General features: G+C 58.3%; 1 protein-coding gene and 1 pseudogene across 2 annotated transcripts in view; both read right to left on the reverse strand.

The window, feature by feature from the left end:
- The window catches only part of KCP (kielin cysteine rich BMP regulator), a 33,845-nt gene extending 31,911 nt beyond the window's left edge, over positions 1-1,934 (reverse strand). For both annotated transcript variants that reach the window (NM_001366122.1, NM_199349.3), the window contains exon 1: positions 1,826-1,934. In NM_001366122.1, the coding sequence (NP_001353051.1) occupies positions 1,826-1,901 (76 nt within the window). In that variant the 5' untranslated portion in view covers positions 1,902-1,934. The remainder of the gene's footprint in view (positions 1-1,825) is intronic.
- A 1,750-nt stretch (positions 1,935-3,684) lies between these two features.
- LOC392787 (filamin C pseudogene) lies at positions 3,685-5,289 on the reverse strand (annotated as a pseudogene).

The following is an 11,730-nucleotide window of genomic DNA, read 5'->3' on the forward strand; positions in this document are numbered from 1 at the left end:
TTCAGGGGTCTGGGGTCTGGCTGAGAGTCTTTTCAGGGAGAACATGAGCAGCCCCCATCCCCTGACTCTCTGCACCTGTCAGAAAGGCCACAACTTTTGGAGAATGTGCTCAGGGAAGGACAACTGCTCCCGCCCCCAACCCTGAGCACGGTTTTCCAGGCTTGTGACAGGGGTTCCTGGGGGCTCCCACATTGGGTGGGGTGGGCTTCAAAAGTGGGACTTGGCTGCATTTTCTGAAGGGTGTGAGAAATGTGCTGGCAAGGCCCCTGCTAACTTTGAACACACCAGATCCAGTGAAGACAGCCTGTCCCTGCTTCTAGAAGACACTATGTCCAGGAAAGAGGGACGGGGCACCTCTGAGCTCTGGCCTGGGGTTAGGGGCGGCCACTTTCACCTTTTCACTTTGATCCTTCTCCTGCAGCCCAGAAAGTAAAGGCAGGAGGGGAAGAGGCAGACATAGGTCCCTCCTCCAGGCAGGGATGGGCAGGGAAGTTGAGGGTCTGGAGCGGAGGCAATAGGAACAGAGAGAGGAGGAGGGAGAGGGATGGGTCTTTCCCACCATGGCAGCTCATTAGTGAGGCCAGGCCTGGAGTGGCTTAAAAGGGTTTCTCACAGACACTAGGCCTGTGAGACAGGGGAACAATGTCACCCACTGTCACCATCAAAGGCAGAGGGGATTCTAGGCTAAAATTGAACTTGCTTTGTCCCAAGTTCCCTGGCTTGGTTAATGCCATCACACATACCCAGTTACTTAAGCCAGAAAGCTGGGGCTCAGCTCCCCTATTTTGTTGCCTGAGTTGTCCCCTAATACATCCCCCCCTTCTCCTCTCTCCACCATCTCCATTCAGAAGGCTGAAGACAAAGCGTCCCTGCCTCCATCTGTGCCCCTTCTCTCCACTCGACCTTTCTGAATCACACAGCCGAAGTCTCCCAGGAGCAAGTCCCGCTGGGATGGATCACAAGCACCGCCCACCTTTCCAGCCCCGCTACTTCTGGCTTATATCAGGGATTCTAACTCAGTTCCCGCACCCTGGGCGAATACTGGCCCTCAAACCCCAGGTGCCCTTTCCCATCTCCGTCCCTCTACTGGGGATCCTGTCACCCGGAATGGCACCCGGTCTCAGTCCTTCCCAAGCACACAGAGGGCGGCCACGATGGGCGTCTCAGCATCTGAAACCTTCTACCCAATCTAGACTCCCGTGGGGCCTCATCCTGCTGCCCAGGGCCCCTCCTCCCAGGCCACTCCTCCAGTTCTGCTTAAGTAGGCAGGCAGGATATGGGAGCCCGGGAGAAGCTGAATCCTCTGGGACCCCTAGGTGAAGCTAGGGCCAGCCTCGCCTGGAGAGACCTGCAGAAAGAGCTCCGAGTGGCACAAACTTGGCTGGTCCCCAAGGAATTGTCCCGGGTTCCCCTCTTAGCCTCCCCTGGCCCCGTGCCGGCACCGAGCCCTCCATTCCCGCCTGTCCTGCTCCGGGGAGGGCCAGACACAGATGCAAAGTCAGCTTCCACAGCGGGCCCCTTTTCTCCCCCTCCTTCGTCAAGACAAATAATTAACTTCAGACTCCCAGATGCCAGGGCAGCCGCACTCTCTCCCGCCGCCGGCTGCAGGAACCGCCCCCCTCTCCTGAACCCCCTGCTTTGGCCGTGGTCTTCCCCACCCTGCTCGCTCCCCCGACGGGGAGGACGGAGCTGGCCAGGGAGGCGCGCGAACCTCAGGCAGGGCTAAGAGCAGAGCCCCCAGCCCCTCTCGGCCCCCTCAGGCCGGGCTGATAGGAGGGAGGGGGCGCACCTGGCCGGACCCCAAGCCTCCCGCACCTGGACTCACCTTCCGCGCCCGCGGCCAGCGCCAGGGCCCCGAGGTGCAGGAGAAGGGACAGCGCAGCGGCCCCGACCCCGGCCATGCTAGCTCCGCCTCGCTCGGCTCGCCGTCTGTCGTCGCGGCTCAGCAGGCGCTGGGGAAGGCGGGGTGGGGACACACAGGCCGCTCCCACCCAGGCTTTGTTCAGGGAGGGCTCAAACCCCCCACCGCGCGCGCCTTTCCCATGCACACCTCCACCCGCCCCGGGCCCGGCCGGTCCTGACCCCAGAGAGCAGCTCCAGCTCGCAGGAAGCCCAACGGGGGTGTAGGCCTTGTCTCCGCTTAAGATCCAGGAGGAGACCCTGAAAAGAAAATAAACCCAAGTCCACCCCTCTCGGGATCCTAGAGAGTCTCCCTGCCCTTTTAGGTTACTCCATCGCCCTAGGGTTTCCAGATCGATTTTTCCTCTCTCTCACAAGTTTACAGAAGAAGCAGACTGAGCTGGGTTTAGATCCCTGCTCAGCCAATTCCATGTGGCCTTAGACCACTAACTTCTCTGTGCCTCAATTTCCCTATCTGTAAACTGGGGATCACCACATCTACTTTATAGACTTGCAGTGAGCATTAAGTGAGATTATATAAGTAAAGAATTTAGAGTCGGTAGAGAGATGGTAAATGCTCAGTAAATAACAAATAATAATAATAAGAACTCCTGATCTCTGAAATCATGGACACGACCAGTGTTTTCCTCTCTCCCCTATAAGTTTCTTTCCTGAACTCCACTCAACACCCCTACCCACCCCAGCAGTCCCAGGCTTGGCCCCAAATGCCAAGGCCGCCCTTCACTGGCTGGTCTCAGCCCCATTTCCCACTCCTGAGCTCAGGCCTGGCTGTGGGGTGAGCCTGGGTAGGGGGCAGGGCTGGGCCCTGGGCTCAGCAGGCAGAGGGGGCCAAAGGGAGGAAGTGAGGACAGCCGTCCCTGTGGGCCCACAGGCTGGGAAACTCCTCCTTGAAGCTGGGAAGCAGAGGGTTGGGTCTCACAGGCGAAGCTCACAGGCAAAAAGGAACATTGAGGGCGGAGCTGTGAACCCTTCCAAAGCTCTCCCTCCCTGTCATAAAGACCAGAAGTCGGAAGCCACCCCTCCCCCTAGACCAGGCAGGGACTGAGGTCTCCCCAGCCCACTCTCCACCAAGCTTAAAGCTTCAGTAAGGAGACGGCAGCTTCTCTGCCCCAGAGTCTGGGCCCATAGTGGACCTGAGCCTTTGCCACAGGGGGCAGGGAGGCTGCAATGCCACGCTAAGACCTGGCCTCAGTGCCTGGAGCTGAGGTCACAGAGGAAAGCCAGGGCCAGCCAGCCAGAAGAGGAACAAGGAAGCGGCAGCACTATTCCTGGCAGGTTTAAGGAAGGTGGCTTTCATTGACCGGGTGCCTCTGGAAAGCAAGTCCTCTGAGGGGCTGGGTAGTGGGACGGTTCAGAGCACAGATTCTGGCAGGGTTGCCAGGGCGCATCCTGGAGCTCTTGCTTTCTGCTCTGGGGCCTCTGGCTGGTCACTTCACTTTTGGTGGCTGATTTTTCTGAACTGTGACTGGAGCTCTAACAGCACCCACCTCATGGAGTGTTTGTAAGGATTAGTAATGCATGGTGCTTGGCACAGAGGTATGAGCAATTTTTACTTCCCTTATGAAGAATGGGGGCACCTCCATCCCCATTTTACAGAAAGAATCAGAGAGAATCAGGGTGAGCAGCTCTAAACCACACTGGGAGGATGCACAGGGCTTCCCTCGCCCCACAGTCCCCTTCCAGTCCCTTGTGTCTTAGCCTCTGCCACTGAGCCTGGCCCCAGTCGGCCCTCATATCACATTCCCAGGGAGGGACACTGTCCTGACACAGAAAAGGTCCTCCAACCCCTGGGGTGCGGTGGGGTGGGGAGGCTGGGCCTTCACTTCACCCCCAAGGCAGGTGTTTGTAGTGTCTGATTCTGTGTGTGTGTGTCTGGGTGTGGCACATTTGTGTGTGTGTGTGTGTGTATGTAATGTGTGTTTGGCTGGAGGTGGGGGCTGAGGCTGGGGAGGCACTTTTGGGACTCAAGGGACCTTGACTTTGAAGGGGCTTCCAGGGACACTTTCGTCACCCCACTTGACGATAAGGATGTAGTCCCTTTCTCCTTGACAGTGTAGGTGACATTGTACACCCGGTTCCCCATGTGCTTCACGTACACCTCCTCACAGGGGGTCTTGGGGCCGTGCACGCCCACCATCATCATGTTGGTGCCTGGAGAGGGAGGCAGAGGGACAGGCTCACACCAGGGAGTCCCCTACTGTGACCCACACCCTGCTCCCTGACGGCTTCTTGCTCACACCCCGGGAGACGCCCTCCCCCCGCCACCTGCCTGCTTTGCTGCAGTCCACGGTGAAGGAGTTCTTCTGGCCCACGAAGGCCTGGGACAGCCCAGGGCCCCGAGTCACCACCTTGCTGGCATCTGAGGAGAACTTGGGGATGGAGTTGTAGCTGGAGCCCCGGCTTGAGGAGGACTTGGTCACAGTCTCCACCAGAACCGTGGATGTTTCGTGAAGGCTGTGGCCTCCGGACAGCCTCGGACCTGAGGGGTGGGTGGAGGGGGCACAAACCTAGTCAGAAGGGCTTCCCGTTCTTCCCCAGGCAGGGGACCCTCGGCCAGCACTGCCACCCTGTGGGACTCACTGCCTGCATTTGAGGTTCCCCCCCAAATTCCTCCAAGGGCCACTCTAGGAGCACAGCCCCATTCCCAGCCAGGGCCCTGAGCTGCCAGCTCCAATTGGTGCTCCACCCTAGGGCTGGGGCCTCAGATGCTGCGTCCCTCATCCTTGCAGGCTTTGTCTGGGAACTCAGGCTAACTCACAGGGTAAGAGCCACTTTACAAAGGAACACCCACCCAACTCATCCTACAGACAGCCTCAAGAGGGGAAGCTTGCTCAATACCGACTGTGTCTTCTTGGAGCGGAGGAATATGGGAAGCCAGGAGGGAAGAAAGTGGTGCTAGAGCCTGAGGAGCCAGCGCAGGCCAGAGCTGAAGGAGTGAGGGGCCACGATGGAGAGGAAGAATGGCATTTTTACATGATCATGCCCGACTCCACAGAACGTGTACTGTGTAGAGCCAGGCCCACCTCTAGCCCTGGTAAACTGACCATGATGTCTGGGGGCAGACTATGGCCTAGATGTGCGTGGCCACCGGAGCCCTCCAGGCTGGGCTGGGCTGCAGGCTGGGTGGACCTCCCCCAAACCGGCACTCACCAGTGACCTTGGCCTTGAAGGGGCTGCCCACGATGTGCTGGGGGCCACCGTACTTGATGGCAATGAGGTAGTTGCCAGGGGCCATGGGAGTGTCAGTGACCACGTGGCCCTCAGGACACTCCCAACAGTCCAGCTGCACCTTGGTGGGGCCATCAATGGTGACAGACAAGGTCCCCGAGCAGGCGTTCAGGGCGTTCACATGATCTCTGATGACACACCTGGGGGCCAGAGGTAGCAAGGCTGAGGGCAGGAAGGGCTTGTGGCCCAAGATGGGCTGTGCCTCAGCTCCCTGGGCAGCCTCTGTGAGGGGCTGCCACTGCCCCATGCCCAGCCTGGCCCCTGCCTGCCAGCCCAGCCTGGGGGCAGGAGGAACCAGGGTCCAGTGTGCAGTCCACGGCACGTACCTGCTCTGAGGGGCACTGGCCTAGCTGTGCTGGGTACCAGGCAAATGAGAGGTGATATGCCCTGTCCTGGCTGAGGAAGGCAGAGCCCCACACTGTGTGAAGCAGTCTGAGGGCAGAAGGCAAGTGCCTGATGGGCTGTGTCAGCTCTGGACGCATGAGCACTAAAATGTGGGAAGCTGAGTGTGGCTGGACTAACCTGGGAGAGCTTTGGGGAGGAGGCGGATCAATGGGGAGGACTGGAAAGGCTCTAGGGGAAAAGGAAATAAACTTGTTGGGGGAGCCCCAGACCTGGAATATGAGGAGGGGATGCACAAGGGCTCCCGACGGGCTGGTAAAATCTCACAGCCAACCCCAGGGCCCCAGTGGAGTCCCAGGCGACAGTCCCCTCACTCCAGGAGCTGCAAGGCTTTGGTACCAGGGGGCTGCTAGGGGAGGAAGTGCCACAGCAGTCCTAGTAAGAGTGGCCAGACGGCAGGCGCCCTGCTGCCTCCAGGGTTGTTCTGGGTCGCATGTCTCCTTGCAAACCCACACCCAGCTCAGGGAGAGGACAAAGGTTTTGCTGCATTGGGCCTGATCCTAAATCCCACCCCTCCAGGTGAGCTGTCCACACCCCAGGCCCTGCTGCTTGCCTGGTCCAAACAGGCTGAGGCTCTGGGGCAGCAGGTGCCCAGAAAGAAGCTTCTTTCGGCTTCCTCCGAGAGGCAAGGTGGGGGAAGACCAGGGTACAGGGGGAAAACCCCCAAGTAGGGCCTTCAGATGAAAGGGGGTGATTTCCCAGTGACTCCCTAGACTCTTGGATCCCCTCAGCCCCAGCCCCAGGCCCGACAGCTACGGGGTAGGGGGAGGATGGAGGTAGGGGGAGGGGAGGTCTTGACAGTTTTCTCTGTGGACACAGCCGGTGCACTTTCAGGCCCTGGGGACTGGGTCCACGGGGGCCCAGGCCCACTCCAGTCCTCTGCCCCCGCTCCCCGCTTCCCCTCCGCCCCCCTCCCCCCTCCCCTCCGCCCCCACCCCTCCCGCTGGCTCCGCGGGGGCACACCCCCTGGGCCAGCCCGTGGAGCCACCCTCACCCCCAGGGACGCTCCTCGGCTGCTAGAGCAGCACCCCGGTCCTCGCCCTGCTGTGTCCAGCGGGGCCGCGAGGCTGGGGAAAGTCCCCCACTCCCGCCTCTGCTCCCGGGCACCTGCTCCCGCCCTCCCGGGTCCGGAGACAACCGCTCAAGGCCAGCGCTGGTCCTCGCCATCTTCCTCCAAATCCCAGCCATGCTAGTCTCACTTTTCCTCCACGTTCAGCCTCTTCATTGTTGCCTTCTTAAGTTCTGGGACAAGACCTACAGAAACCAGCCCAGGAACTATTGCGCCCCATCCTTCTCCGCTGCTCTGGGGGCCGGCGTCTACCATTCCCGGCCGCGAGCCCAGGGACGGACGGAGCCTCTACCTGACACTATCTTCCCCCAAACTCTTGCACAATTCCTGCCATTGGCCTGAAGATCCCGGGGGATGAACGCTTTAAACCTCCACCTTTTTTTCCGAAAGGGTTAGGGTGACCCGGGAAGAGCGAGGGCGAGTGCATCGAAAGTAAGGATCGGGCCTCGCTCCTCTGTGGACCAAGCCAGCCTCCAGCAGGGCGCCTGGGAGCCCCCATTCTGGGCGATGGCGGGGTGGGGGTGGGGGGGTGGGAGCAGCAGAGCCTGCGCCCCCAGCTGCGGTGCCGACCTCGCCGCCTGGGCCTTGGGGTTCCCTGGGCGCCAGCACCTCAAACGGATCGGGGCGTGAGGGGCGCCTGGGAGGTCCCAGGCCGGCGGGGCGCGCCCTGCTGTAGGCACCCACCGAAGCTCGGTCTCCAGGCGCAGCTGGACGCGGACCCCGCCCTACTCCAGTCTTCATCCGGTCGCCCGCAGGTGCCTGAGGGGCGCGGGCCCTGGTTGAGGCCTAGACTTGTGGGTGGGCAACAGCCGGTACCGCTCCCACCACCTTCCGGACGCGGGGACGCGGGGACGCGGGGACGCGGAGAGGAGAGAGCGGCGGCCGGGACCCACCTGTCTGCGATGCTCCTGCGTGGCTGCGCCCTTGAGCACTGGTGGGGCGGCGGGGCCGAGCTGACTCTGCCCGGGCTGCGCTGGGTTCTTCTGCACCGCGCCGGCCCCGACCGGAGGGACCACTCGAGGAGGCTGGCACTTACCGGTGACTACTGACCTGGAGGGAGCATTGGGCCAGGCCCAGGGCCTGTAAGGAGACGCCAGACAGATAGCGCGGTGGCCTAGACGACCACTGGGCTTCTTCGGCAGTCTGGAACAGGGAAATAGTAATTCCATAACCTCAAATTCCGCTCCGCGCCCCGCCCCCCGACTCCCCCCAGCTCTGAAGGGTCCGCAGGTCTTCCCCAGTCCATGCTATCGTTGAGCTCTGGCACCTGAAAGAGATGGTTTCCCGGGTCAAGAGCATTAGGATGCCAGGTGGTGGCTTGCGCCTGTAATCTCAGCACTTTGGGAAGGCCAGGCAGGAGGATTGCTTGAGTCCAGAAGCTGACCAGCATGGGCAACATAAGGAGACCCAGTCCCTACAAAAATAATAAAAAGAAATTAGCCAGGCGTCATGGTGAGCGCCTGCAGTCCCAAGCTACTCTGGAGGCTGAGGCGGGAGGATCACTTGAGATGGGGAGGTCGAGACTGCAGTGAGCCATGATGGAGCCACTGTATTCTAGCCTGGGCAATACATTGAGAACCTGTCTCAAACAAAACAAAACAAAAAACATCAAGAGACGACTCGGGTTGGGGCAGGATGTCTCTTTTCTGCCTTTACACAGAGGGTAGCCCACATCCACAGAGCCAACTCATCCTCTTGCCCCTATGACATGTCCCCGCCTGGGCTGAGGTTTTGCTTCCAGAGGCCCTGCCCTCCAGGGCTCTGATGCCTGTGCAGCCACCTCAGTCTGCTCCCACAGGAAGGGACCATCACTTGCAACCAGAAGCCATGCCCAAGAGGACCCTGCCCTGAGCCAGGAGCATGCTGCCTGCACTGTGAGCCAGGTCAGCCTCCTGCCAGCCTCAGCCCCATCTCCTGCATGTCCACAGCCACGGCCTGCCACCTGAGAGTCAGCGAGCCTGGGACATGCCCAGGGGTGCCTACCCACTCACTCCTGACAGTGGCCAGGGGAGTGCAGAACCCATACACAAGTCAGCAGATACTGGCTCTGGCCTGGGACTGAGCCAGAGACCATGGGGAAACAGGCACAAAATCTTTTTCCTGCCCTCAGGGAGCCTCCAATCTAGTTGAGAAGATAAGCTCATAGCCAAGCTACCACAAGATTGAAGACCCAATGAGCAGATTAAGAGGAGGTGTAGAAGGCAGTGCAGTGTGTATTTTGCCAGAGGAGGGCACAGGAGGCAGGGGAAGCCCGTCGAGGCTGGGCAGTCAGGGGGCCTTTACAGACAATGGGTCCTTTGAGCTGGGTCTTCATGGGAAAGTGGGGTTCCACCTGAAGGAGAAGGAGTACGTGAGGGTCCTCTGGGCACAAGGACAGGGTGGAGAGAGGTGGGTTGCAGGAAGTCCATGTGGGAAGGCCAGTGGGAACAGGCTGCTGTAAGCCTTGCAATTAGGACTTTTTTCTATGGGCAGTGGGGGGTATTGAAGGCTGAAGCAGCCTGTGGCATGGTCAAGGGGGCGCTTGAGGAATATTCACCTGGTGGGGGCTAGATGCAGACAGAGGCGTCGGGGCTGTGACAGCAGTTGTCTAGGCATGGAGCCAGGGATGGCAGTGGGCTGGAGAAAGGGGGATGTTTCTAAAGGACGGGCAGGAGCCGGTGACTGGCTGGATCCCCTGGAATAGTGGAGGCCGAGCTTGGGACACTAGGATAGCAGTGGTGCCAGGGACATGAAGAGAGCTGGGAGGAAGAGGAGGTCATGGCTATGCAGGGAGGTGTTACTGGCTCATGGCGGGATAGGGTTGCCAGATTTAGCAAATAAAAATGCAGAATGTCCTGTTAAATTTGAATTTCAAATAAACAGCACAATTTTTTAGCATAAGCTCAGAGTCACAGTGGGAATAAGCTGTAGAGAATGGAATCAATTTGAGGTCCTTAGGATCCTGGGGCCTGGCCAGGCCTGTCCACACTGACCTCCAGCCAAGTAGCCTGGCCCTATCCTTGGCACGACCTACTAGGTGTTCTCCCTAGAAATGTTATCGTCATGAGAAGTCCTAGCCTCCTCGCCATCCCTGGTCACTGTGACTCTCAGCTGCTTCTTGCCCAGCTCACCCCCTGCTCTGCCCAGTCCCACACCCCAGCACCCCCACCTGCCCTCTTCATGCCTCTGTCAGAGCCCCTGAATATTGCTGGACAGCATCTCACCACTCCATTGCTTCCATGGCAGACTCGTGGCCACAAATATCAATGAGCACTGGACATTGCCAGAAATCCTCCTACAATCTCTTGGCAAATCGTTCTCCCCCTCCCTGAGAGGAGCATTTTTTTTTTAACCTTCCAATGGTTCTGCCCCTTACTTGCCATATGATCTTGGCAAGTTATTGAACCTAAGTCTCAGGTCCTCCCCTACGAAACAGGGGTAATAAGAGCACTTCTGTCTTTGCTCTCGTTAAGGATTGTCAGACTGGGTGTGATGGCTCATGCCTGTAATCCCAGCACTTTGGGAAGCTGTGGTGGGTGGATCACCTGAAGTCAGGAGTTCGAGACCAACCTGGCCAACATGGCGAAACTCTGTCTCTATTAAAAATACAAAAAGTAGCCGGGTGTGGTGGCGGGCACCTGTAATCCCAGCTACTTGGGAGGCTGAGGCAGGAGAATCACTTGAACCCAGAAGATGGAGGTTGCAGTGAGCCGAGATTAGTGCCACTACACTCCAGCCTGGGTGACAGAGTGAGACTGTCTCAAAAACAAAACAAAACAAAAACAACAACAAACAAACAAATAAAAAACGATTGTCTTAGCCTGGGTTCCTGGAAATCAGAGCCTGAGACAAAGGCTTGCATGCAGGCTGATTTTGGAATATGATCCCCAGGAGCAGGAGGGAGGATTGGAAGTGTGAAACTGGGAAGGATGGAGAGCCAATACAAGGGTGCATTATGCAATGGAGCCGACCACTGCGGTGGGCATCAGCATCCGGTCCTGCAGGACCTGGGGAGCCATGTGAAAGGCAGGCAGGCAGTAGAAGCCATCGGCACTGGGAGGCCCCCAGGGCATTAGCTTGCTCCCAGTTATGCATGAGCCAGTGCCCACATGGGTTCCCGAGGGTATCCAATGCTGTGCATCAGAGAAATTCCAAAATGAGAGAGGTAGATTTGCAGCCAGGACCTCAGGAGAGACGCTGTCAGGGTGCACTGTGTGGAGCTGCTTGCAAACTGTGTACAACTGGAATGAGGTACAGCTGAGAGGATTTGCATAAGAGATGGCCAGCACAGGTGTTAAGTAGGATAATACACACAGAAAACTTTTTACAGTGCCCAGCACATTTTAAGCACCACAATCTGTTATTATTTTCATTGTCATAATCATCATCTCCCTCTGAGGTCCAAACCGAAAAGTCAATGTTAACATTTTTTAAAAATCTGCAACAGAAGGTAAAGAAGCTTCTGGAAAACTCACCCTATAAAGTGAAAGCCCAGGGCCCTGAGGAAAGGGTGTTATTTGCAAGGCACTTGAGTTCCACAGTTGAGTATGATCACTGTGTGCCTCTTTTTTGGGTGCCAGGCACTGTGCTCGATGCAGGGGTACAGTGGTGAATGAGACAGGGTCCTGCCCAGAACCTTCTGGGAAATGAGACTCCTGGTAAAGGGAACCACATGAGCACTGGGCTCAGGTCCACACAAATGTCAGGCTTGGAATAAGCATCTGGCCTGTTTTTCTCTGCTGGGCTGGGGGGACCGTGGTGCAGCCTTTCTGACCAGAAACAGCTCTTTCTTTACAAGAAGAGGATTTGGCTAGAGAAAGAAAGAAGGAATGGCTTGGGCCCAGGTTTGAGTCCTCGCTTGGCCTGGAAGCCCCTCTGTGGGGACACTGCTGGTTCCCTTACCGTGATGCGTGGGCCCCTGGGAGGCATATGGCCGCAGTAGCAGCATATGATGCTGAGGCGGGCGCAGTTCAGAGTCAGTGAGTTCAGAATTCAATTCCTGTGCTCCCACTTACTAACTGCCCTGAGTGTCCTCTAATTCTCCCTCCTCTCCTCCTCTGCCATTTATTCCCTGTCCCTCTTGGTCTCCTACAGACGGCATCACTCTGTGCTTTCATGCCTTCTGGTTTCCT

The sequence above is a fragment of the Homo sapiens genome, chromosome 7 (assembly GCF_000001405.40).
Source record: "Homo sapiens chromosome 7, GRCh38.p14 Primary Assembly".
Lineage (NCBI taxonomy): Eukaryota > Metazoa > Chordata > Mammalia > Primates > Hominidae > Homo > Homo sapiens.